At 52.4% G+C, this 26,672-nt stretch overlaps 1 long non-coding RNA gene and 2 pseudogenes across 4 annotated transcripts in view, besides 6 other annotated features; 1 reads left to right on the top strand and 2 right to left on the bottom strand.

Moving 5' to 3' along the window:
• The window catches only part of LINC02018 (long intergenic non-protein coding RNA 2018), a 76,870-nt gene extending 74,038 nt beyond the window's left edge, over nucleotides 1-2,832 (bottom strand). For all 3 annotated transcript variants that reach the window (NR_151705.1, NR_151706.1, NR_151707.1), the window contains exon 1: nucleotides 2,727-2,832. This is a non-coding gene — a long non-coding RNA (long intergenic non-protein coding RNA 2018). The remainder of the gene's footprint in view (nucleotides 1-2,726) is intronic.
• Nucleotides 2,119-2,548: a silencer, noted in NCBI's record as "silent region_14536". NCBI's record gives its function as "represses an Ori minimal core promoter by ATAC-STARR-seq in GM12878 lymphoblastoid cells {active_cell/tissue: GM12878}" and the evidence as "EXISTENCE:reporter gene assay evidence [ECO:0000049][PMID:35858748]".
• Nucleotides 2,619-2,798: an enhancer, noted in NCBI's record as "active region_20104". NCBI's record gives its function as "activates an Ori minimal core promoter by ATAC-STARR-seq in GM12878 lymphoblastoid cells {active_cell/tissue: GM12878}" and the evidence as "EXISTENCE:reporter gene assay evidence [ECO:0000049][PMID:35858748]".
• Nucleotides 2,869-3,278: a silencer, noted in NCBI's record as "silent region_14535". NCBI's record gives its function as "represses an Ori minimal core promoter by ATAC-STARR-seq in GM12878 lymphoblastoid cells {active_cell/tissue: GM12878}" and the evidence as "EXISTENCE:reporter gene assay evidence [ECO:0000049][PMID:35858748]".
• On the top strand, nucleotides 3,025-16,588 carry FAM86DP (family with sequence similarity 86 member D, pseudogene; annotated as a pseudogene). The gene is made up of 8 exons (NR_024241.1): nucleotides 3,025-3,222; nucleotides 5,270-5,332; nucleotides 7,226-7,308; nucleotides 8,903-9,004; nucleotides 10,232-10,365; nucleotides 10,448-10,713; nucleotides 11,541-11,690; nucleotides 15,079-16,588. The product of NR_024241.1 is annotated as a family with sequence similarity 86 member D, pseudogene (transcript).
• Nucleotides 3,509-3,568: an enhancer, noted in NCBI's record as "active region_20103". NCBI's record gives its function as "activates an Ori minimal core promoter by ATAC-STARR-seq in GM12878 lymphoblastoid cells {active_cell/tissue: GM12878}" and the evidence as "EXISTENCE:reporter gene assay evidence [ECO:0000049][PMID:35858748]".
• Nucleotides 4,968-5,262: an enhancer, noted in NCBI's record as "tiled region #2645; HepG2 Activating DNase matched - State 5:Enh, and K562 Activating DNase unmatched - State 5:Enh". NCBI's record gives its function as "activates a minimal TATA promoter and a strong SV40 promoter by Sharpr-MPRA in HepG2 and K562 cells {active_cell/tissue: HepG2 | K562}" and the evidence as "EXISTENCE:reporter gene assay evidence [ECO:0000049][PMID:27701403]".
• Nucleotides 12,493-12,994: an enhancer, noted in NCBI's record as "H3K4me1 hESC enhancer chr3:75474297-75474798 (GRCh37/hg19 assembly coordinates)". NCBI's record gives its function as "activates a minimal SCP1, AML or CMV promoter by ChIP-STARR-seq in naive H9 embryonic stem cells {active_cell/tissue: H9 hESC(naive)}" and the evidence as "EXISTENCE:reporter gene assay evidence [ECO:0000049][PMID:30033119]".
• ALG1L6P (ALG1 like 6, pseudogene) lies at nucleotides 13,409-23,073 on the bottom strand (annotated as a pseudogene).

Here is a 26,672-nt window from a genome sequence, read left to right as displayed (position 1 = left end):
TGTCAAGAGATTGAGACCATACTGGCCAACATGGTAAAACCCTGTCTCTACTAAAAATACAAAAATTAGCTGGGCATGGTGACGCGTGCCTGTAGTCCCAGCTACCCGAGAGGCTGAGGCAGGAGAATCGCTTGAGCCCGGGAGACAGAGGTTGCAGTGAGCTGAGATCGTGCCACTGCACTCCAGCCTGGCAACAGAAGGAGACTGCCTGAAACAAAAAAATCCCTTCAGTGCCTTTATCCTTCCAGATTCAGATCCAAGAGAGATGACATTTGTCCCTCACCAGAGACTGCACACCAAGATAAAGATTTCTTCTGGCCAGGCGCGGTGGCTCACGCCTGTAATCCCAGCACTTTGGGAGGCCGAGGCAGGTGGATAACCTGAGGTCAGGAATTTGAGACCAGCCTGGCCAACGTGTTCAAACCCTGTCTCTACTGAAAATACAAAAATGTCCCGGCAGGGTGGCTTATGCCTGTAATCCCAGCTACTCGGGAGGCTGAGGCAGGAGAATCGCTTGAACCTGGGAGGTGGAGGTTGCAGTGAGCCGAGGTCGCACCATTGCACTCCAGCCTGGGCAACAAGAGAGCAAAACTCCGTCTCCAAAAAAAAAAAGAAAAAAAGATTTCTTCTGTGTGCATGGCTCAGCTCTGTGGTCCACTAGCGTCCTTCCTCAATCTGCTTCCAATCTATGGACTCAGGAAAGACTGAACCAACCTAGATTTATTAATATTTTAGTATAACATAATACAGTGTTACTTACTATGGCATTGACCGTATATGCCCTTTTGCTCCTTGGAGGAAAGACAATTAATAGCTATTATGTGAGTTAATAAAATAAGCCCAAGATTTATGAGTATAGCTAACCTGTTCCCATTGGTTTTCCTTGTCTCCTGCAGGCAGAGAGCTGATCAAAACAGCAAAAGCAAAGCAGTGCCCCTGGCCCAGTTCTGAAGCCAACCTTCCTTAATCACCCAGACCCATCCCTGGTTAGGACTTGCTGTGGATCCTCAGGTGACTCCATCTCAGGATAGAGGGACTGAGAGGGTGTATGCAACATCTCAGACACAGAAACCGTTGATTCTGTCTAAAAACACAGCAATAACCACATCCCATCCTCTTGATTTAAATGAAAGTGTTTGGGGGAATAAAAGATGAACCTTTTTTTTCTTTGTCAGATCTTGCGCTCATTTGGTTCTGGTGGGGAACAACAGCTATAAGAGAACAAGTGTATTCAATTCGAATTAATTCCCCTCTCTTATTCTCATAGCTGAGCAGGGCTCAAGTGCCTCTCATCTGAAAGAGGTAATAAGATTTTATCTGTCTCCTCATCTACCTTTTGCAAGTATACTTAACAAATTAGCTCTCGAGACTCTTCCAAATGGAGTTTTATGAGGAATTTGCTAAGGTAAACGTTTTAGACTTTGAACACAGTTCAGATTTCGGGGGCAGTACTGAAATCTGAACTGTGTTGCTAACTGCCCTGCCTTTCAACTCAAGACACAATAACTTTGAACTAAAATAATTATATTTTTGTTGTTTTCCACTCTGTCCCCACGTCTATATCACCACCACCCCCCCATCCCACCCCGCAGGAGCTAACTCCTCTTTCCTGTCCCTGCAAGATCAAAACTCCTCCTGCAAGCCCCGCTAGCTCTGTCTGCTCATCTTTGTGGCAGATATCGCTATTGTACTTTTATACTCATTTGTGTGATAAGTACTTCAATGTCCACTTCTTCCACGAGCCCCTGAGCCTCTGGAGGGCCCAGACCACACCTAGTCTTTCTCACCGTTACATCTCCCTTGTCAGGCACATGGTAGGTGCTTAATAAGTATTTGGTGAACGAATGGCTTGTTTGGAGACAGTCCAAAGGCTGGAGGACAGAGGGAAAGCTCCCTCCTTTCGGGCCCCAGACGGGTGGCGCTGATGGAGAGGTTAGGATAAGGCCTCCAGGACCGAAGCGTGCACCTGTAAGGCCCCTGCTAAAAAGACCTTCCTGAAGGCGGAGGTACTGCGAGAGTGTCTACGTTAGCCCAAGGCCTGACCCGACGATCCCAGGGACCCTCGCCCTAACTGGCCCCGCCTCCCGGGCCCCAAACCCAGACTCGGCCCCGCCCGAAGCTCCGGATCCTGGGGCCCGCCCCTGGCCCCGCGTCGGCCGACCGTGGGCTCGCTCCTGGGCGTGCCTCAAACCCTCCGCAGGTAACGCCTCCCAACTTGAGCCACATTCCGATCCCCTCCTCAAACCCCTCCCCGTTTCCCACACCCTGGATCCCTCGCTCCGTCTCGGCCCCGCCCCAAGCCCAGCTAGGTCTCGGCCCCTGAGCCCAGCCCCGACCGGCCTCCCAGTCCCTGGGTCCCTCCCGACACCGGCCCCTCCCTAAGCTCCGCCTCCCAGGGCCCGCCTCCTGAGCGCAGCTGGCAGCCCGGACTCGGCCCCGCCTCCTGGACCCTGGGCCCCTCCCCACGTCGGCCCGTCCAAAGCTCTGCCTCCCAGAGTCCGCGCACCGCCTGGCCATGTGCTACGACATAGTCAACCCCCCGCCCCGGCCCCGCCTCCTGAGCCCTTCTCTGGGTCTGGCCTTAGCCCCACCCTAAGACCTGTCTCCTGGGCTCTGCTCTGAGTCCCGCCTCCTGAACCCAATGGCGTTTATCCCCGCTCTAATGCTCGCCTCCAGGACTCTTATCCTGCCCACACGCAAGGCACCGCCTCCAGGACGCCACCAACCTGGACGCTTCTGAAGCCCAGCTTCCAGGATCGCCCTATCCTGACTCCGCCCCAGGACCCGCCAACCTGGACTCTACCCAGGACCTGCCCCAACGACGCTTATCCTGGCCCTACCCCAGGCCTCGCCCTCCTAACGCTCATCCTGGCCCCGCCCTACAGCCCGCCCCCAGGACGCTCCTCCTGACCCTACCCCCAGGCCCCGCCCCCTCTCTGCCGCCGCGCACTGCCCTGGGCCCACCCCCTCTTCAGTCCAGGCCCGGCTTCCGCCCGGTCTCCCGGCAACGCTGCGGCCCCGCCCACGTCATGGCGCCCGAGGAGAATGCGGGGACCGAACTCTTGCTGCAGAGTTTCGAGCGCCGCTTCCTGGCGGCGCGCACGCTGCGCTCCTTCCCCTGGCAGGGGGGCGGCGGGCGAGCGGAGAGGCCCGCGGGGCTCGCGGGAGTCCAGGGGCAGACGGGATGGGTCTCCGTGCTGAAACCCCCGGCGCTCCTGCCACGTGAGTTCCTGGGCTCTCCCCGGTCAGGGCCGCGAGACCCGGTCCCCGTCCCTGGGGCCTGGCCAGAGTCGCTCGCACCCCTCCTGCCCCGCGAGCTGGCGGCGGAAGATGAGGGCGTCTCCACCGCCTTGGGGGGGCAGACGCGTGCTCGGTGTGGGGTACAGTTCACGATCATTTTCACGACTTTTTAAAGGTAGTAATCGTTCTGGTCACTGGGACACAGCTGCCCTCGCCCATTCTAAAAAGTCAGCGCCCTCAGGCCCGCGGGTAACCACTTCATCCTGAGCACGGTGACCAGGTCACAGGCTGTCCCTCGTGCCTCAGTGTTCTCATCTGTATGTCGAGCACTGCACAGAATCGGATCATGCGCTGAGGCTTTCACGCCTGTGATGGAAGAGACAGAGAAGGGGGTGGCCTCTCCTCTCCCTGGGGACCTGCCATTCTCAGCACAGGCGCCTGGCAGGCAGCAGCCTCCCTTCTGCCAGCAGAGGGGCTTAATGCACCCCTCTCCATTTGTAATTCATGTGCAGTGAGCTCACTGGGATGAGTCAGTTCGGATATATATTCCTCCCTGGGTCTGCCCCATTTTATGGGGTGTTGCTTAATCATTTGCGTTATTCCATTGACATAAAATATTTAGCACTCAGAGATCAATTTTAGTCAGGAGAAATTTGTGCATTTTTAACCCAAAATAGAAACCTTCATAAAAGCATCATAGGTCTCCATTCAATATTGACTATAGTTGTTCACATGCCCACACTGAATGCTAACTTCGGCTCACCCTCAACACTGACGAGGTGGGTACTATTATTATCACTCACTTTTGACCAGAGAGATTGTTTGATTAGGGTGAAGTAGTTGAGAGTTCAGACCCAGGAGACAGCCTGCCTGCTTCGAATCCTGGCCCAACCCCTGGCCCTGTGTGACCTTGGGCAAGTGACTGCATCTCTCTGTGCTATTGTTTTCTTATTAATAAAATGGGGGATATAATGATACCTACCTCTTAGGGTTGTTGTCAGCGTTGAGTACAAAAGCCTGTGGATCAGTGCCTGGCTCATGGTAAATGCATGTCGGTGTTAGCTGGTGTTTTTATTCAGTCACAAAATGTTTAATAAATGCCTTCCATGAGCCAGGCACCATGGATCAGCAGTACCCATGATAGATGAGGCTCTGCTTGCATGGGAGAGCCAGAGAATAAACAAATAAATGAATAAACAAGAAAAGACCAGATGAGAGTGGCTTTAAAGCCAATAAAACAGGGAAATGGTGAATGGAGCAACTGGGGAGAAGAGTCACCAAGGTCGGGGAATCAGGGAAGCCTTCCCCAAAGAGGTGGTATTTGAACTGGGGCCTGAGTGGTGAGGCAGCCAGCCATGGGAAGGGCTTGGGGAACAGGATATGCAAAGGCCCTGTGGTGGAAACAAGCCAGCTATGGTTGAGGAAAAACAGCAAGGCAGCCAGTGTGGCTGGAGTGGAGTGAGCAGGGTGGGCCAGGGGTGAGGGAGAACAGGCCAGAGAGAGGGATTAGGACCAGGTCTTGTAGGGCCTTTTATGGCATGGAAGGAGCTCTGAAGCAATGAAGTGCCTTGCCGTGGGTCACATACCAGCCGAGACAGTTTGCCTAACTCAGGAGCCAAAGCTTGCTGCTGGGCTTGAGGCCCCTGTAAGAGGACAATGTAACCCAGGCTGGTATGAGCACATTCTGCATTTCTACTTAAACTCAGATGGCAAGCCCATCAAACCTTGTTGCCATGGCTGCCCTGGTAATTCCTGGCTGACCAGTGCAACCAGGGAGCTGGCCCATGACCCGGGTGGCCGCTAAGTAGCCATGACTAATGCGGCCAAGAGTCAGTCTTCTTCCTGTGACTCATCCAATTGCACCCAGCGACATCTGAAGGTCAGGCTTTCAGCCACTGTGGCTTCCACTTCCAACTGGCTCCACGTCCCCAGGGAGGGATCACATAGCGCTTTGCCAACACATTCTATTGCGTGTTTTAATGTTCCTGTGAATGCGCCCTTGAGATTTCTCTCTCTCCCGTCCACACAGAGCTTAGAAGCAAAGTTAAGAGACTCATCAGATTCTGAGCTGCTGCGGGATATTTTGCAGAAGGTAAGAATCCCAGAGTCCCTGGGACTCATGACCCTGCCTCCTGAATCTCTCCGGAAGACCTGAGAGAAGAACCATAGGTGTGCTTATACCCTTTAAAAACACCCCTGTTCAAAGAACAAAACCATTGAGTCAGCACTGCAGGTGGGTGTCAGCACCTCCGACAGCTCCTGCACTTTCGTTGTCTATCTAAGACTTAGACAAAGACATCAGAATATACAAAAATCTGCAAGAGGGGTGAAATCTAGCGAATGTTTTTTAAACCATCCACAGCAAAAACAGAGATGACAGGTACAAAACAGCTTCTAGCATTTGGTAGATGCTCAGAGACTTTCTTTTTTGCATTCATGAGGCCTGTCCTGCCCACTCCTGTCTCTTCTAGACCTAAATGGGCCCTTGCTTTGCCCAGGGTGGGGTTTGGACTCAAGTGCATCTGCATGCAGGTGAGAGCCAGGATCACCACCCGGCCCAGCTAGAGGCTGACCTTGGCCTTGAGGGCCAAGTGCAGATCACCCTGCATCCTGGGTCTTCACCTTCGAAGGGCCATGAGCCCTTCTGAAAAGACAAAGCAATAGACTCCCTCCCAGAAAGAAGTACACCAGAAGAATATGTTTTCCATACAAACTCAGGGGAGACAGACATCCTCCACCCCCACCCACCCAGCCCATCCTAGGAGCCCCGGTGAAGAATTCCTGTGCTAGAGGTGAACCAAGATTATCCACATGGAAAAGATGCAGACACAGCAGGGAAGACTTTCGGGGCAATACAGTAGGTCAGGGCTTCGATCATGGAGATACCTGAAGTTATCTCACACCCTGCTCTGAGTTTCACCCTAAGCCTCACTCTCATAGGTGGTGAAGCATGAAATGTTGGGAGAGCTGCTTTAAAACCCAGCACAAGGCTGGGTGCACTGGCTCACACCTGTAATCCCAGGACTCTGGGAGGCTGAGGTGGACGGATCACCTAAGGTCAGGAGTTCAACACCAGCCTAGCCAACATGGTAAAAACCCATCTCTACTAAAAATAAAAAAATTAGCTGGGCGTGGTGGTGCACGCCTATAGTCCCAGCTACTCGGGAGGCTGAGGCAGGAGAATCGCTGAACCCAGGAGGCGGAGGCTGCGGTGAGCCAAGATCGGGCCACTGCACTCCAGCCTGGGCAACAGAGCGAGACTCTGTGTCAGAAAAAATGAAAAACCAACACCAGCATGAAGAGCCAGTGTATTGTGTGGGGTACTTTGCTGCCCTTGGGCAGAATCTGCATCCCACCCAGCCAGCAGGAGCTGCGGACTGTCTCCTCCCTCTCCCTCCAGGCTCCTGATTTCCCACCATCCCCACTCCTGCTACACCAGTCCCTCTGCCCTCCTTTCCAAGGGCCAGCCCGTGCCCACCTCAGAGCTTGCACAGGCTGTTCCCACTGCCTGGAACTTGCTCATCCTGCACTTGGCTTCTCTCGGCTTTAGTGGGAGTGTCACCCTGAGCGTTCCCTCCCCTCCATCCTGTCCCCAGGGACACACGCTCCAAGAGAGCAGTTGCTGAGTGGGCCTTCCCGCCTCTTCCATAAAGCCAGACAGTTGGCGACTGTCCTTACAGCAAACCCTGGTTCACACTGGCTCCCCTGGGAGGGAGGTGGTTTGGGCCCACATGCCCTGTGTTCCTGCTCAGAATGGGCATTAGAAATGCTGCCATAGCCTGTGCCACTGCAGTGGAAGCATCTTTAGAAAACGGCTTATATCTTAAGACAAACTTCAGATGCGTGGGGCCAGAACGCCGTGTCCATGTACATCTTTGCTGAGGGATCGGGTAGCCTGGAGTTTGCCCTCTGCTGTGTTGGCTTGAAGCTCATAGGAGACTTAAGATGGGCTCTCGAGCAACCAACGTTCTGTCCTTTGCCGTAGACTGTGAAGCATCCTGTGTGTGTGTGAAGCACCCGCCGTCAGTCAAGAAAGCCCGGTGCTTTCTCTCAGAACTCATCAAAAAGGTCAGTTATGGGCAGTGTCCGCCCAGTAGCCGGACAGCATAGCCACCTGCGTGCTGGAGACCCCATCCTTCCCAGGCCCTGGGCCTTCTTTGCAAACCCCAGCATGGCAGGGGCCTCCCCAGGCAACTGGCTGCATCTGAGTGTGACCCATGGGAGACAGTGCAGGGCAGGAAGAAGGGGAGGCCAGCGTCTCTCCCTCACTCTGCCTCCTGGGGTTTCCACAGCAGCTGCTTCTCTGGGGCGCCAGCTCCTAGCATATGAATTCTCATTCCTACCAGGCTGGTCCAGCCCACAGCACTGGAACCCTCACCCACACCCTCTGTCCTGCCCGCTGAAGGGTTTGGAGTTTCCTGCTCTTGTCCGTCTCTGGGTTGCCCCACGGGCCCCTTTTGGAAGATTTAGCTCTTGCCATACCTTTGGAACTAGTTCCTCTGGTGAATTCTCTGCTTTGATCCTGCTGGAATGAGCTCTTTCCTGACTGATATAGGATGGATTTTATTTTTTACTTATTTATTTACTTTTTTGAAACAGTCTCACTGTGTTGCCCAGGCTGGATTACCGTGGCACAATCTCAGCTCCCTGAAACCTCTGCCTCCTGGGTTCAAGCAATGCTCATGTCTAGCCTTCTAAGAAGCTGGGACTACAGGCACACGCCACCATGCCCGGCTAATTTTTGTATTTTTAGTAGAGACAGAGTTTCACCATGTTGGCCAGGCTGGTCTCGGACTCCTGACCTCAGGTGATCCGCCTGCCTTGGCCTCCCAAAATGCTGGGATTACAGGCATGAGCCACCTCACCTGGCCTAGGATGGATTTTAAAGATGGGCCTGAATATGCAGGGTTTGACATGGGGATGTCGAGAGGCCATTCCTCAGTAGGCAGAAGCAGACTTGCTGAATGAAAGGGCCACACTTTTAGCAAATAAACAATCCCCTGCTTCTCCAATACCTGCTTTCTCCCTAGTCCTCCCCAAAAGGGTGCATCTGTGGTCACCAGCAGTTCTGCCCTGTGCCACCAGGAGAGGGCAGCAGTCACCTAGTGTACCCTTCTGCTGCCCTATGAATCATAGGACGGGGCCAGCTGTGGAGAAGCAGCCTGCTGACAGCCACAGCCTGCAGCATGGGCCGCCCTCACAGTTCTGTCTGGGCTCACTTAAAAGCACCTTTTGTTTTCCTCCTCTCTGTGTTTGATCCAAACACAGAGCTCTCTGTCGTGGTCAGGTGGCAGCTCTCACGGAATCCTTGTCTCCTGCCCTAGACTACATCTAACCCTACCCTCTCAACACCTCTTGTTGAAGGCCCTCCCGTTCATGTTTCCCTACCAAGTGGAATTATTTTTTTTTAGAGACAAGATCTCTGTTGCCCAGGCTGTCCTGGAACTCCTGGGCTCAAGCAGTCCTCCCATGTCAGCCTCTAGAGTAGCTGGAACTATTCGGCACACACCACCATGCCCAACGAAGTGAATATTTTATATGCCAGCTGGCCGGTGTTACACCATTCCATCCCAAATCTCCCCTCCAAACTTGGTGAAAATCATCTGGCCATTTTTACAGATTAGAACAAAAGCAAACAAGCTCTCACTCTGTCTGCCCCCAGCACGAGGCTGTCCACATGGAGGCTTTGGACGAGCTGTATGAGGCACTGGCAGAGACCCTGATGGCCAAGGAGTCCACCCAGGGCCACCGGAGTTATTTGCTGGTATGAGAAGGGCACCCTCCTCCCCCTCACAGCCCAGATACACTTCCTGCACAGACAAAGTGAAAATGTGGGTGTGGGTTCAAATTCTGACTCACCCATTCTGCAGTCTTAGACATGAAGTCCATTAACCTTCTTTAGCCTCAGTTTCCCTGTCTGTAAATCAAGCACTTCAACAACAACAGCATGTCTCGTGGGGTTGTTGGGCATTTGTCCAATAGGTGACACACACTACCTGCTTCACAAGGACCTGGTGCCCAGTCCTCAAAGAATACTTGACAGGGCTGGACATGGTGGCTCATGCCTGTAATCCCAGCACTTTGGGAGGCCAAGGCGGGTGGATCTGAGGTCAGGAGTTCGAGACCAGCCTGGCCAATATGGTGAAACCCTATCTCTACTAAAAATACAAAAATTAGGCCAGGCGTGGTGGCTCATGCCTATAATCCCAGCACATAGGGAGGCTGAGGCAGGGGGATCACCTGAAGTCAGGAGTTTGAGACCAGCTTGGCCAACATGGTGAAACTCCATCTTTACTAAAAATACAAAAATTAGTGGGGTGTGGTACTGGGCGCCTGTAATCCCAGCTGCTCAGGAGGCTGAGGCAGGAGAATCTCTTGAACCTGGGAGGTGGAGGTTGTAGTGAGCTGAGATCGTGCTATTGCACTCCGGCCTCGGCAACGAGAGCGAATCTCTGTCTCAAAAAAAAGTACAAAAATTAGCCGGACATGGTGGCACACAACTGTAGTCACAGCTACTTGGGCGGCTGAGGCAGGAGAATTGCTTGAACCCAGGAGGCAGAGGTTGCAGTGAGCCAAGATCGTGCCACTGACTCCAGCCCGGGTGACAGAGCTCAAAAAAAAAAAAAATAAAACATAGATACAGAAAACCACAAAGGAAAAACATAGCATATTGAATCATCACAAGGCAGCCATCCCTTCATAGCCACACCTGGCCCCTGGCCACCACTGACCTGTGCTCCATCACCAGAATTCTGTTGTCTCAGCAATGTTCGATGAATGGACTCCAGTGTGGCCTGAGTGTCTTTCATGCTATGTGACACCCTTGAGGTCTGTGCAAGCTGTTGGTATGTCAACAGTTAGCTGCTTCTCATTGCTGAGTGGCGATTGGTCCTGTCATGGTTTATTCAGACATATGGTGGATGGCTACTTGTCTTCTAAGCCACTTGCCTTCTGATCGCTGGACTTACTCTCTCGCCCTCTCTTGGTGCAGCCCTCGGGAGGCTCAGTCACACTCTCCGAGAGCACAGCCATCATCTCCCATGGTACCACAGGCCTGGTCACATGGGATGCCACCCTCTACCTTGCAGAATGGGCCATCGAGAACCCAGCAGCCTTCACTAACAGGTGACCTTGTGGCACAGGGCAGGGCACTGAGGCAGGCTTACCCTGGTGCAGTTGAAGACACGGTCCCCTTTCCTCCCACCAGGACTGTCCTAGAGCTTGGCAGTGGTGCCGGCCTCACAGGCCTGGCCATCTGCAAGATGTACCGCCCCCGGGCATTCATCTTCAGTGACTGTCACAGCCGGGTCCTCGAGCAGCTCCGAGGGAATGTCCTTCTCAATGGCCTCTCATTAGAGGCAGACATCACTGCCAACTTAGACAGCCCCAGGGTGACAGTGGCCCAGCTGGACTGGGACGTAGCGACGGTCCATCAGCTCTCTGCCTTCCAGCCAGATGTTGTCATTGCAGCAGGTAATGGCCAGCCCCAGGCATCCTGTGCAGGTGGTGTCCATGCAGCTCTACCCAGCCCTTGGCTCTGGGAAAAGGGAACAATGGACGCTGTCGGGAATGGACATGATGGGGCTTCCAGAAGAGGTACTCTGGGCCTCCAGGGTGACATCAAAGGACAGGGGTGCCTCTTAAGGTGACCTTCAAGCCACAGACCTCTTGTTGGATACAGGCATACTCCCGTTTCAGTCATCACCACATGGCTCTGTCCCAGAGCCATGCCCTGTGTCCTTCAGAGACCACAGGAGGAAAACAACCACTTCTGAGATGAGGACAGGGCCCTTGAGAGAAGGTGGTGTTTGGCTGGGCCACCGAAAACCCCTCACCCCTGCCAGCACACTCAGTCCCCTCTCTGGTGGAACAGAGCTCTGCCTGTGGTCCTGGGTTCCAGCCCTGAAACCCACAGGTCCAGCGGTGGCCAGGGACACAGGCCCACCCCCTCAAGCCAGCAGACCAATTGGCAGACACCTGAAACACGAAGTTCACGGCAGGGTCAGGCTTTCTGTCATTCAAAGCCCTCTAGATAGGCCGAGAACCAGAGCTGGTTTTTTAAGGAACACCAGTGAGTCTGGAGATTTTTTTCTTTTGCTTCGGTCTTTTGCAGCTTTCTCTACTAAGGGTTCTCCTTTTTCACCCAAGTAATTGCCTTTCCATCTAATGGCCCAAATGGTCAAATGGCATCTAATAGTCTCATATGACCGCTGCCTCTCTGGCCTCGCCCTGCTGCTGAGGTCAGTATGAACTGGAACTTTCCACTTATCCCTTTCAGTAACCTGAAGCTTTCACCGTAGACGTGCTGTATTGCCCAGAAGCCATCGTGTCGCTGGTCGGGATCCTGCGGAGGCTGGCTGCCTGCTGGGAGCACCAGCAGTCTCCTGAGGTCTACGTGGCCTTTACCGTCCACAACCCAGAGACGTGCCAGCTGTTCACCACCGAGCTAGGTGAGCCCCCACGCCCACCTGGGCCTGCATGGTCCCCGAGCTGTCCCTGCGGGACTCCAGTGGAAGTGAAAGAACTGGGCGCCGGGGAAAAGCTAGGATGCCCCACACTCCCACATCATGCGGGGAACTCAGGCAGAGGCCGGCGAGCAGGGTGGGCTTGGGGTGTGGGGGGCTTGCGGCAGGAGGAGGGCGGCTCAGCAGAGGGAGGGAGGGTCTGAGCCCAGCAGCCCTACTATGTGCTTCAGAGCAGGGTTCCCTAAGCCCTTGGGCCTTGGTTTCATCTATAAAATGGAGGTGGTGGGAGGGGCAGTCGGGGTCATGGCTGGACACAGCTGTGGCCTGCAGGACGCTGGAGCACAGGCTGTACAGGCTGATCCACCACACCACTGTCCTGAGCACCCAGTTGATGGAAGACGAGCAGGGTGACTATAGAGAAGGGGAACTTCTCAGTGGGCCAACCACTGTCCTCAGACCTGACGTTTGTCAGCCCCCAGCACCTGTGAGGGTGTGCTGTCATTGTCCCATCTCACCGACAAAGACATTAGGACACACAGAGGCCAAGCGACCCTCGAGCTCCTGCAGACTGCAGCCCGGCCACCAGGCTCTCGTGCCTCCACACTACACCCAAGCCTCCCAATGCCACCAGCCTCTGCCCCAGCTCCCCCTGAGCACAGCCCCTCCTGGCAGCCATGTGCACAGATGCACCCGCAGCAGCCTCTGCCTGCACACAGAGACACAGACAACCCAGTGCCTGTCCACGTGGGGCAGCCCGTTAACTACAGAGCCAACAAACAAGCCAGCACATGAAGGCATACTGGGTTCCACGACAGAGTCCCGCACAACCTCGCACAGGAGGCTGGCCGGGCGCGGGGCTCAGGCCTGTCATCCCGGCACTTTAGGAGGCTAAGAAAGGAGGACTACTTGACCCCAGTTGTTCAAGAAAAACCTGGGCCACATAGTGGGACCCTGTCTTCACAAAACATACAGAAACTAGCCAGATGTGGTTGCACACACCTGTAGTCCCAGCTACTCAGGAGGCTGAGGTGGGAGGATGGCTTGAGCCCACGAGGTGGAGGCTGCAGTGAGCCCTGATCTCACCACTGCACTCCAGCGTGGGCAACAGAGCAAGACCCTATCTCAAAAAAGCAAAAAACCAAAAAAAAAAAAAAAAAAAGGAAGTCTTTCTTCAGATACTTACGTGAAAAAAAACCTGCAATATCTTTTAAATAAAAACAACAGTGCCAAGCAGCACACATAGTATAAGCCCCCGCCCACCTTTTTTTTTTTTTTTTCTTTTTGAGACAGAGTCTGGCTTTGTATTGCCCAGGCTGGAGTGCAGTGGTGCCATCTCGGCCCACTGCAACCTCCTACCTCCCAGGTTCAAGCTATCCTCCCATCTCAGCCTCCTGAATAGCTGGGACTACAGGTGCGTGCTACCACGCCTGGCTAATTTTTGTATTGTTTGTAGAGTTGAGGTTTCGCCATGTTGGCCAGGCTGATCTTGAACTCCTGACCTCAAGTGATCTGCTGTCTCAGCCTCCCAAAGTGTTAGGAATACGGGCGTGAGCTACTGCGCCCAGCCCCAGTTTTGTTTAAAAACTAATAATAATCACCCACACATGGTTATGAGTACCTATATTCCAACTACTCAAGAGGCTGAGGTGGGAGGATGGCTTAAGCCCAGGAGTTTGTGGCCACCTTGAGCAACATAGCAAGACTTCATCTCAAAAAAAATTTATCACAATAATCATTTTCACATAAGTATACCTATAGGGGAAAACCTAGAACATCTATATAGCAGGCTTGTCCAACCTGTGGCCCAACACAAATCTGTAAACTTTCTTAAAACAATATGAGGTTTTTTTGTGATTTTTTTTTTTTCTTTGAGCTCAACAGCTATTCTAGCTTTAGTGTATTTTATGTGTGGCCCAAGGCGATTCTTCTTCTTCCAATGTGGCGCAGGGAGGCCAAAAGATTGGACATCCCTGATATACACGTTAACAGGTGCCATCCTTGGATGGCAGGATTATAGAGATTTCTACACGTTCATATCTGTACTACGTCATTTTTATGAATACGCATTTTCCACTTGTAACAAAAAAAGTGACTGAAAATCATCCCGGGTCACAGTGTCTCATGCCTGTAATCCCAACACTGTAAGAGGCTGAGGCTTTGGGAGGCTGAGGTGAGCAGATCACCTGAGGTCAAGAGTTCAAGACCAGCCTGGCCAACACAGTGAAACCCTATCTCTACTAAAAACACAAAAATTAGCCAGGCGTGGTGGTGCACGCCTATAATACCAGCTACTCGGGAGGCTGAGGCAGGAGAATCACTTGAACCTGGGAGGCGTTGCAGTGAGCTGAGATTGCACCACTGCACTCCAGCCTGGGGAACAGAGTAAAACTCCATCTAAAAAATAATAATAAAAGAGGCTGAGGAAGGAGCATCGATTGAGGCCATGCGTTCAGGACCCCATCTCTACAAAATAAAAAAATTACTGGCATGGTGGCATGCATCTGTCATCCCAGCTACTCAGGAAGTGGGAGGATTGCTAGAGCCCAGGAGTCGAGGCTTTAGTGAGCAATGACTGTGCCGCTGCACTCCAGTCTGGGTGACAGAACAACATCGTATCGCAAAAAAAAAAAAAAAAAAAAAAAGAATCATCCTGGCTAATGGCTGTTCAGACATCTGTGCTTATGAGAACACCAGCCCCTTCTAAGCTGTGTGTGTGTGTGTGTGTGTGTGTGTGTGTGTGTGTGTGTGTGTTTTGAGATGGAGTCTCACTCTGTCACTCAGGCTGGAGTGCAGTGGCACAATCTCGGCTCACTGCAACCTCCGCCTCCTGGGTTGAAGCAGTTCTCCCGCCTCAGCCTCCCAAGTAGCTGGGATTACAGGCACCCGCCATCGTGCCTGGCTAATTTTTGTATTTTCGTAGAGATGGGGTTTCACCATGTTGGCCAGGCTGGTCTCGAACTCCTGAAGACAAGTGATCCGCCCGCATAGGCCTCTCAAAGTTTTGGGATTACAGGCATAAGCCACTGTGCCCGGCCACTTTCTAAGCTTTGTGAAGAGTGAGTTGACTGAGCAGCCAGGTAGATGTGGGTTCAGATCTCTGCTTCTGTCCTGCTGTGCCAAGTGCTGGGGCAGACGCGGGCAGAGAGTGGACAGTGGCATGGTGCCTGCTGCTAGCCATTTCTATGCAAAACCAGATTTCTAGTCCCATCCTGGTGGCCAATTCTAGGTACCTGGGTGGGCCTGGGAACCTGTGAAACAAGTAAACTGACTTAGACACCCCCTACCCCACCAGGCCTGTCCTAGCAGCCCCACACAAAACGCTCACGTCCTGTCCCCAAACACCGCCATCCTCAAGCACGTGCTCTGTTTCCAGGCCGGGCTGGGATCATATGGGAAGCGGAAGCTCATCATGACCAGAAACTGTTTCCCTATGGAGAGCACTTGGAGATGGCAATGCTGAACCTCACACTGTAGGACTCACACACGACTCCAACGGGATTGTGAGAATCAAGTCAATCTCATGGGAAGAATTTTTATATGGGAAAGCGGATAAAACTTTCATTGTACTGGAATGTTTGGAGAATGTTAAATTCCAAATCAGAAACCACAAACTGCCCTCTAATAAGACATCGGCTATCTAAGCGTGTGGGTGCCCCCTTTCTGCCAGCAGTTCTGGTTCTTACGAAAATCACCATATATCAGACATGAAAATTCTGGCTTTGTGCAGATAAAAAAGTGTGTATCAAGTATGACGTTCCCCCAATGTGGACACACTTGGTTCCTCAGAAAGCCAAGCCCACTGCAGCTGCCACATCCCTGGACACACTCGGTTCCTCACAAAGCCAAGCCCGCTGCAGCTGTCACATCCCTGGACACACTCGGTTCCTCACAAAGCCAAGCCCACTGCAGCTGCCACATCCCTGAGCCTATGGTGCAGCAGGTGCTTTTTTCAAGACAGGGATCAAAGTGTTAGGAACACGGCAGAAAGGTGACACCTGGAGACCAAATGCAGGATGAGGAGTACTGCAGAGGTCACAGGGAAGTCAGAGAACAGTAATACGCTAACAGGGGCACGGGGCATGAAGAACAAAAGACAGGAAGCGTTTCAGAGACTCCAAAGAAGAAATCAGGGCCAACCACAGCTTCCCGGGTCATTCACCAGGTGGCACCACTGCCGTCATTTCAGCTTCTGGCCACTGGGAGGCGCTGCTCGAAAGGGTTTGCCCTGACACTCCAAGAAGCTGCGGGAAGGACAGCAGGGGCCCTGGGGTTTTAGCCTCTGGCCCAGGAGTTATGTGTCCATAACCAAAGGGAGCACAGTCTGCACCCAGCTCTCATCCCATCAGAGCTGCTGCGACTCCTGCAGGTTCTTCCGGAACTGGTTTAGCTTGCCTGCAGGATCAGGAAAGTTTGAGAAAAGCATCTGCAAAATACTAAAGAGCAGAGCTTACCTCATTGCCTGTCCCCACCCCATCCCAGGTCACCACCTGGCTGACCCCAGGTCCCCGACCCAACAACAACCCCTCCCAAGTCCCTAACTCCCTCACTTGGACTTGAGACCCTTCACACCCCAGCAGCGCTCCGCCTCCCACTTGACATCATGCTTTCTGGAAACTTCCCCGTATGTCCCACTTTCCCACACTTGGTGCCCTGGAGCACCTTCCGGCCTCTACATGCTGTACGTTCCCCTGTGAGCACCCTCCTCTCGGCCTCTGGCCAACACAGTCCCACCCATCTGTGGGTAACAAGGGGGAGTGGGTGTTCTTTTCAGCCTTGCTAAACTCTCTGAATCAAGGATCACAAACTACAGCCTGCAGGCCAAATCCAGCCCACAGCCTGTGTTTGTAAATAAAGCTTTATTGGAAGAAAGCCACACCCCTTAATCTACAGATGATCTGTGGCTACTTTCACACCACAACAGAGTACCATGGTTCTGACAGAGACTGGGGGACCCAGTCTAAATGACTTCTGACCTGGACCTTTACTGAAAATCCTCCCAATCATTCTGTTGACAAGAATGATGTATTACTTTTTGCAATAAGAAACAAGTAACCTTTGCAGAATTCCACCCATCTTTCAAGGCTGGTCCCAGAAGTTCCCTTAGCCCATGCACCTACCTGATCCTGATCACTTCCTAAACTGCAGCCTGGCCCACCTGGATCCAGCATCATTTGTGGCGTGTCAGCTCCATAAATCCAGAGGGCAGGTGGCGTTGTGTCCTAACTTTCCCGAGCCTACTGTACTGAAACAGGACAGCAGAGTAGGCCAGCCTCTGTGACTTCTGCTCCCTCCCTAGCTTTTCCACCAGACCCCCCATGGTCCCACCCTGGCTGTGGGAAGCAGGGATCAGGGAGTGTGGCTCGGTGCCAGTCTCCAGAACCCTGCCCACCCTGGCGTGGTGGCAGACATGGCTACCTGCAGCTGAGCTGCCAGTTCCTCTGAGTCCTCAAAGACCAGGCCATTTTCTTCATGTTTCACCAGCTCATGTAAACTGCAGAGAGAACCAAGGGAACCCGAGAGCTTCCTGGAGAAGACACCAGACCCCTGGGGTGCCCAGCTGGGCTCCCACCCACCCCACGCTCAAGCCAGGCTGGGGGTTGGAACAGGGGGTGTGGTTTCTGGGAGCTGGTTCTTAGATTTGGCATCTGAAGGGTATAAAGGCCTGGCGGGGGTGCACATCAAAATGGCCAAACCGATTTGAGGAGGGAGCCTTAAGGAGGGTTTGTACCTTCTGTGCTGGATGCTCTTCAAGGACTGAAGAATTATTTTTGCATGTTTTTCTAAATTCCATGGCCATGGAACAAGTAAATGCAACCCCCTGGGGACTGGTTCAGCACATAAAAGATGACTTTTCTAGGACACCAGATTTGATCCCGACATTCCCTGAGCTCAGCTCACATGAGGGGCTCGCATCCCTGAATCCCATCCAGAGGCCGTCTCCTGAGCAGGGGCCAAGGGCTCAACTTGTGCTGGGGCTACTGCTTCTAGAATCTCCTCTAACGCCACCCTTCCAAACACTTGTCTATGCTGGGTGAAGTGAGGCCACAGCATGACACTCATTTAACTGATTCAAACCCAGCACGTGAGGTTGACCAAAAGGGACATGGTGGGAGAGAAAAACAAAGAAAACCATGTAAGCCTGCAGGCAATTCCTGCCAATTCTACTCTAGGAGCAAAAGCCCCGAGTGGAGTTCTAGTATTTAAGGTGCTTTTTTTTTATATTAGGTTGGTGAAAGAGTAATTGCCATTTTTAATGGAAAAATGGTGATTACTTTTCTACCAACCTAAATATAACATGAGTTCTAAATGGAAGCAACTACTTCAGTGAGGCTCAGCCCAGGCACAGTAACCGCAGGGCTCCTCCTCATGGCCTCCAGTGTGTGCTAGACTGACCGAGGGGCAGGGCCTCACTGTGAGCAGCTCACTCTGCACTGCTTCCCCCTCAGCGGTGGATCTGTGAAGCTATCCCCAGAAAGATTCGGGTTCTGCTCCTACCACTTGAAGTTCACGGCACACGCAGGCAAACAGCTCCTGAACATGTCCACCACCTTCATGGGCAGGTCCAGGCCACTGGAGGACGTGTGCAGACAGACACCCAGGTCCGCCGACCCTGCTAGGCAAGAGGGGTGGGTCAGAGCGCTGGTCTGTGCCCTGGGAACACAAATCCTCCCAGCACAGTGAGACAACATCCCCCGAGGGGAGTGAGAATTGGATAAAGCCCCCGACAGCCCCAAGCACAAGTGGCTTAAGCTGGCCAAGCAGCCACACGGCCTGGCTGGGACATCTGAAAATGTAAGCTGACACTTCTTATACATAACCACAATTTGTCTTTTGTTGTTGTTGTTGTTTTGTTTTGTTTTGTTTTGAAACAGAGTCTCACTCTGTCACCCAGGCTGGAGTGCAGTGGCACAATCTCAGCTCACTGCAACCTCCACCTCCCAGGTTCACCTCCCGCCTGTAATCCCAGCATTTTGGGAGGCCAAGGTGGGTGGATCACCTGAGGTCAGGAGTTCAAGACCAGCCTGGCCAACATAGTGAAACACCATCTCTACTAAAAAAAATACAAAATTAGCGAAGCGTCATGGCAGGTACCTGTAATCCCAGCTACTCAGGAGGCTGAGGCAGGAGAATCGCTTGAACCCGGAAAGGCAGAGGTTGCAGTGAGCCAAGATCGCGCCATTGCACTCCAGCCTGGGCTACAAGAGCGAAACTACATCTCAAAATAATAATAATAATAATAATAATAATAATAATAAACCACAGCACACCCACCACAAACCAGCTGTCAGTGTGAAAATAAAGCCAAATAGCTTAACATTTCTAAAGACTAGCTGGGGCCAGACATGATGGGTCATGCCTGGAATCCCAGCACTTAGAGAGGCCAAGGCAAGAGGATCACTTGAGGTCAGGAGTTCAAGACCAGCCTGGCCAACATGGTGAAACCCTGTCACTACTAAAAATACAAAAATAAGCCAGGTGTTGTGGCGGGCTCCTGTAATCCTGTAATCTACTTGGGAGGCTGAAGTGGAAGAATCGCTTGAACTCAGGAGGCGGAGTTTGCATGAACTGAGATCATGCACTCCAGCCTAGGCAACGGAACAAGACTATCTAAAACAAAGACTAGCTGGAGAATCCTGCCAGGAAAAGGCCCTCAGCCTCCAACTGCTCTGCTCACTCGAAGCTGGAAGATGCGGCTCTAGAGACCCATCAGGACCAAGCCACGACTCCCCACTTGGAGAAATCAACGGGGAAAGAGACGGAGGCAAAGGAGAACCATCTCACTGGGAGAGGCGATGCTGTTTGACACATCGTCCCTGTACCTCCCAAAGCCACTGCCCTCCCACACCTGGGCAACAGTGGCCCCAACCCCAGGCACAGCCCTCCTGCAGGAAGGAAGAGGACTGAATGGAGGGCGTGGCCGACTGAAAGGACGTGGCCTCCTCAAACCCCTTGGTAAAGGGCCTCTGGGGCCACCTGGCAGGGAGGGGCTGGCATACCAGGAAGTACCCTCCACCCGGGAGTTCAGCCAGAGCCCAGGTCCTGTCCGCAAGTGGCCTCCAGAGCCACCTTTTCAGAAAATGTACATCCCGCCCACCCCTGCTCCCCCTGCTTAAGGCCCCGCCTCCTCCCTGAGCCTCCTGCTGGCCTCTCACCTAGAAGCGGGGGTAGTCCTCGGCCCTCCAGCCAGGGGGTGCAGACCTGGATGTGCTGGAAATGCTTCTGGTAGATGAGGCGGCTGTAATACTCCCTCAGAGGCCCTTTGCCTTCACAGAGAAGAGCAGACACTGCCATGGACCCGTCTCTGTCCCTGCCACATGGCCCCAGGCCCAAGACACTCCCCGCTAGGAGGGATCCCTTTCCCAGAAGCTCCACCCCTCAGCAGCTCCAGTCAGGCCCTATCTGGGCCCTTCCAGGAGCAACCCAGGAGCCCCGAGACCTGCAGGGGTGTGTGCACCCTGACCCCTGACACATAGCCCTGCACCTGCAACCAGCTGGCCTCGGGCTGCAAACAAGGCGGGGTAAGCACTAGCCTGGCACCCGACCGCCCACTGGGTGGACCCAGCCTTCTGTCCGTGTTGTGCGCAGGGTACACGAGGAATCTCCCTGCCCTGGCACAGCCCTCAGAGCACATGGCGCAGGTTCCAAGCTGCCCCTGCCCTGCCACAGCCCCCAGAGCACATGGCGCGGATTCCGAACCACTCCTGGAAGCCTAGAGGCCAGAGGAGGGAGGAGAGCAGGACCAGCAGCTGGCCCAGACCCCGCTTCTTCCCACACCGCTTCCACTTTTCTCCCTCTTCACTGAGTCATCTTGAAAGGGCTCAGCAGCAGTAACTGTGGGACAGGGGCTCTTCCGTTTGAAAAATTAAAAAAGGCTTGGTTAAGGCACCAATGACATGGCCGGGCACAGTGGTTCATATCTAAAATTCCAGCATATTGGGAGGCCAAGGCGGGTGGATAACCTGAGGTCAGGAGTTCAAGACCAGCCTGGCCAACATGGTGAAAACCTGTTTCTACTAAAAATACAAAAATAAGCTGGATGTGGTGGGCAACTGTAGTCCCAGCTACTCGGGAGGCTGAGGCATGAGAATTGCTTGAATGTGAGATGCGGAGGTTGCAGTGAGCTGAGATCGCACCACTGCACCCCAGCCTGGGCGACAGAGACTTTGTCTCAAAAAAAAAAAAAAAAAGACACCAATGACGTAACAACAAAAAAAAAGATGCTTGGAAACTACTGAAAAAGTAGAAAGCTTGGTATCTACAGATTCAAATCTGGGCTCCCTGCCCTGCTGTGAAACCCTCTGAGCCTCAGTTTCCCACATGTCAAGCAGTATAAGACCCTATGGCAGAGAGCTGCAGTGAGGATTAAGGAGACAAGATCGTGGGAAGCACAGGGTAAAGGCTGCGTGCCCCTCCCCCTCTGCCATCCCCCAACGAAACAGACACCCAGGGTCCCAGGCGGTACCTGTTATCACACAGACGAGAGAAGGAAAGTTGTGTCCATGAAGAGTCAGTTGTTCAAACTCTGTGTTTAAAAAAGAAACAATTCTACATGGAATTTCTGATAGATTTTTTTTTTTTCTTTCTGACAGACTCTTGCTCTGTCACCTAGGCTGGAATGCAATGGTGTGATCTCAGCTCACTGCAACCTCTGCCTCCCGGGTTCAACTAATTCTCGTGCATCAGCCTCCCAAGTAGCTGGGATTACAAGCGCCCACCACCATACCTAGCTAATTTTTGTATTTTTAGTAGAGACAGTTTTCACCATGTTGGCCAGGTTGGTCTCGAACTCCTGACCTCAGGTGATCTGCCTGCCTCAGCCTCCCAGAGTTCTAGGATTACAAGTGTGAGCCACCATCCCCATTCAGAAAAAAATTTTTGAATAAACAATAGCCAGAGTCACCTGGTCAGGTGGAGAAAGTGCACTGCTCTGGCAGGGAGTCCCCCAGCCTCTGTGAGATACTCTCCTGGAGGGGGCATTTCAGCCTGAGGGCCTGGTCACTCAATGACCCAAATGGGGATTCAGGGAGGCCCACCTCCACCACCCCTACTGTCCCCAGGCTGCCCCACCCAGTAGCCCGGGACAGGAACATGTTGCAGGCCAGGCAAGCAGCTCACAGTTCAGTGGCCCCGACAAGCCCAGCGCTCCTCACCGCAGCCACACAACTACTTTCTAAAGCTGCCAGCAGGACAGAGAAGTCTTCGTCCTCTATGAGAAGAGAATTCAATATCAGGGGCCTGTTTCTAGACAGCACTCTTCCAGCTCACACGCCCTCCCCTTCTCATTGAGACCATGGCGGGGTGGGGGCATGAAGGACTGGCAGGGGTGAGGAGAACACAGGTTGGCCAGGTGCCCTTCACACCAACCCCAAGTGCCCCAGGGGTCATGCAGACCTGTCCAGCTTGTGCTGCTGACCAGCAGAGCTGGCCGCTCGTGGAGACGTGTCACCAGCCTACTCCCAGCATCCCGCTCTGTGAAGGCCAACCGCTCTGTGGCTGGGTCCTCAGGTTCTGAGATGAAGGAGCAGAAAAAAACCCTGTGAGAGGCCACAGAGCAGGCCCAGGACCCAGAACGGGCATCTCTTGCCATGGCGAGGCCTGCAGACTCCCAACGGTTGGGGTGGCCAGCCACATCAGCAGCACCAGGCCATCCCTGCCATCCGGGGCCTGGGCTTGCTTTCTCTAATATTGTTGCTGGGTGCTAAGGTTACAACAGCAAACAAGACTGACTCATTCCTTTTCTCCATGGGACTTACTGTCTTATCATCCCCTGGACTCAAGATGAGCATGCTAGGACGCCCTCCCACACCACCCCAGCTTACCCAGGTGCCCACCTCAGGGTGTGTGGACCTGCAGAAAGGTCCCCTCCTTAGCCCCGTGAGACACCCCAGGGGACACACAGGTCCACAGATCCTGCCGCAGGCCTGGGAACCCACTGGCAGGAGAGTAAGACAGTGCAGGGGTCCACAAACATTTCCTAAAAGGCCAGAGAGTAAATACTTCAGGCTTTGCGGGCCACAGGTTCTCTGTTGCAAAACGCAATTCTGCTATTGTAGCTCAAAGGCGGCTGTAGACAACTCAGAAGGCAATGAGTGTGTTGTGTCCCAATAAAACTTGATTTACAAAAGCAGGAGACTGGCCTGTAGCCTTAGTTTGCCAACCCCTGGATGAGTGGGTTCCCAGTTCTGCAGTGAGAAGGGGAGAGGCCAGGGCAGTGGCGAGCAGGAGAGAAGGCAGCTGAGGATGGCAGGCCTACCGGGCCCTGAATGGAGAGTGCGTGCCGCCCAGCTTCATGAAGAGCCGGTGCTGCAGGTCCAGAGGTGTCTCTTTAAAGAAAGATGCCGGCTTGTCATAGACGGTCACAGCCCTGCAATGAAATCATGGCAGGGCTATTGGGAGGGCTGAAGAAAGGCCTCAGGAATAGAGGACTCAGAGGCTCCAGGAAAAGAAGGACGCTTGGGGAATCCAGACGATGACAAGAAGAAGCCTTGCAATCACTTGGGAATGCACAGAGAGACATCCTAGGATCAAAACTGCCTGGACCCCCTGGCTGGCTGGGAAAGAAACTCTGCCCTCTCCTCTCCCGGCTTCCCCAAATTTTCGCATAATGTTGCCAAGCATTAGTCCAGCGTGGAGGCTACTTTCTGCTCAAACCACTCATTTGGGTCCCGCGCCCAACATCACCTATCCTCAGTAAAACAACCTTTACTTCCTTCTTCCTGGTTTCCAGAAAGTTCCCCTAAAGCCCTGAGGAATCACCGAATGAAAGGGGCTTTTTACAAACAGGAAACTTAAGTGGAGTGCCAATACACAACATGGATTGCACCAGGCTAGGTCTAAGATAAAACCAGACTGTGGACAACAGGACAGACAAGACCCACATGGCTCTGCACTGCCTGGGTCTGTTATTGTGTGGAAGAATGTCTTAGTCTGTTGCTCCTGTGGATGTAGCTAAAGCACGAACCAGGAGTTTTCATCCTTTTTTTTTTTGAGACGGAGTCTCACTCTGTCACCCAGGCTGGAGTGCAGTGGTGCGATCTCGGCTCACTGCAAGCCCCGCCTCCCGGGTTCATGCCATTCTCCTGCCTCAGCCTCTGGAGGAGCTGGGACTACAGGCGCCAACCACCACGCCTGGCTAATTTTTTGTATTTTTAGTAGAGACAGGGTTTCACCTCCTGCCTCAGTCTCCCAAAATACTAGGATTACAGGCATGAGTCACAGTGCCCGGCCTATAAAATGAGGCAACAGATTAAGAATAGTAAGCATAAGATTGAGGCCAGGCTCGGTAGCTCACGCCTGTAATCCCAGCACTTTGGGAGGCCAAGGCAGGTGGATCATCTGAGGTCGGGAGTTAGAGACCAGCCTGGCCAACATGGTGAAACTATGTCTCTACTAAAAATACAAAAAAAAATTAGCCAGGCGTGGTGGCACATGCCTGTAATCTCAGCTACTCGGGAGGCCAAGGCAGGAGAATCACTTGAACTGGGGAGGCGGAGGTTGCAGTGAGCTGAGATCTCACCACAGCACTCCAGCCTGGGCAACAGAGTGAGACTACATCTCAAAAAAAAAAAAAAAAAAGGATTCGGGCAGTCAGAAGCGACCACCGCCAGCAAAGAAAGGATGAGGGGGAGTGAATAAAGGGTCTACAGGAGAATTAAGAAAGTGTGGGCCCTTGGGTCCATTTGGTGAAGTGGAGCCAGGTCACTGGTGAGTGTGCCAGGGAACCAATTAAGGATGAATATGAAGCTTGAGGCCAGGCCAGCATAAGTGCCATGTGGGCGCCTGTATTTCTTTACATTTGCTGACTGTCAATCCAGCCACCTGTGTTTCTGTGAAATACAAAGGAAGAAATGCTGTGACTTTCTCTCACTCTAAGGTGAAACCAAAGAAGGGGAAACTGAGAGACCTGTCCGAAATCCTCCACCGAGCCACTCGGGAGCCTGGAATAGATACAGCCGGTCAACTGACCTGTTCTCTAGGCACAGCTTTTTGGATTTGCCACTTGCGTCTTCTTCAAGTTTTAGAAACTTCCAGACTCTGGCTTTTTTGCTGCTTTGGGGAACAAAGCATGTTCATTCAAGTGTACAGCAAACCTGTCCTGCTCCTAAATCCAGTCATCTTCAAAATAGATTTTTGAGGTTTACAGTGCTAGTCTCCAAATGTCATTATCATCCCTAAAGTGAAAAAAAAAGGTTTAATTATTATGAGCAGTGAAATTACCATATAATCTTCCAATTAACTGAATAAGGCACCAAATAAGTGCCCTCAAGCCTTAATTTCTACCTTGAAGTTAAGATAGGTATCATGCTTACCTTGATCATCCTACACATCCTCAAAGTGGGCGGAGTTGCAAGGCTGTCTAAGCGGGTGGGGTGGAAGGCGGTGCACTTCCACCCCCTTGTCTGTTTGTCGAGCTCTGTTGGTCCTTCTGATTGGTTAGCGACCCTGAGTGTTTCTGAGAGCCTTTTGTTGTATACTGGGGCAGAACCACTAATTTGGCCAATTCCAAGCAGAAAAGATCAAGTATAGATTTCATATCTGAGTTTTAAGTGCTAGTAAAAAGTTGCATTAAGTTATCAAATGCACTGTGATCCTGGCTTCATTGCCAAGTGGCTCTGTAGTTTGAGGATTATGCTGCATCCCGAAGAAAAGAAAAGCAAATTGTTCCATTTAGATGCTTGGGGTAAAGGGGGATTGATCCAGTTACTTTTCAATTAATCTAAGTCAGATGGTGTTCACTGCATAACTTTGTAAGGTTTGTACTTGGTCAAAGAACAAAGTGTGAATTTTTTTTTTTTTTTTTTTTTTTGAGATGGAGTCTCGCTCTGTCGCCCAGGCCGGAGTGCTGTGGCGCAATTTCGGCTCACTGCAAGCTACACCTCCCGGGTTCATGCCATGCTCCTGCCTCAGCCTCCCAAGTAGCTGGGACTACGGGTGCCCGCCACCACACCCGGCTAATTTTTTGTATTTTTAGGGGTTTCACCGTATTGAAGGTCTTTGGTTGAAAAGGCATGAAGAAGTTTCTACCAGTCCTGTTTGAAATAAAATAATACTGTAATCTAAAGATTGTAATACAAGACCAACACAGCACATTTAGAGTAACTTTTTAAAATTGGTTGACTGATGTGCTTCTCTCTCTCTCTTTCCGTAGACATGTGTGTAGCATATTACATAGAGAAATCTATAAGCCCTGGGTTATGTTGGTTGCTGATGAGGATTAATCAGAAGCTACTACTCACTTATTCACCTTTGATCTGCTCTTGTTCTGGTAGTCTTCTTCATTGTGTCATTCATTCAAGAACTGTTCATTGGGCTGGGTGCGGTGGTTCACACCTGTAATCCCAGCACTTTGGGAGGCTGAGGCGTGTGGATCATGAGGTCAGGAGTTTGAGACCAACCTGGCCAACATGGTGAAACCCCACCTCTACTAAAAATACAAAAATTAGCTGGGACTGATGGCATGCGCCTGTAATGCCAGCCACTTGGGAGGCTGAGAGAGGAGAATTGCTTGAACCCGGGAGGCAGAGGTTGCAGTGAGCTGAGATTGTGCCACTGCACTCCAGCCTGGGTGACAGAGCAAGACTCCATCTCAGGAAAAAAAAAAAAAAAAATTGCATGGTCATGTCAGCATCCTCCCCACGCCCCCTTCCCCAGATCAACCAAAAAAATGGAGAAAAATCTGGAAGGCCACTCCTTTAGACCACTAATGCTAAGGATGAGTGCACACTCACAAAGCGTGCAAGCCAGCTATATTAGTTCATTCTTGCATTGCTATAAAGAAATATCTGAGACTGGGTAATTTATACTTGATCTTAGCCAAAAGGCTGAGAAGCAATGGGATTGGGTAATTTATAAGGAAAGAGGTTGAATTGGCTCACTCTTCTGCAGACTGTACGAGAAGCATAGCAGCTTCTGCTCCTGGTGAGGCCTCAGGAAGCTTCTAATCATGGCAGAAGATGAATGAGGAGC

This window comes from Homo sapiens, chromosome 3 (genome assembly GCF_000001405.40).
Source record: "Homo sapiens chromosome 3, GRCh38.p14 Primary Assembly".
NCBI lineage: Eukaryota > Metazoa > Chordata > Mammalia > Primates > Hominidae > Homo > Homo sapiens.
Note: the sequence above shows the minus strand (reverse complement) of the source record. Positions and strands in the feature narration are given on the sequence as shown.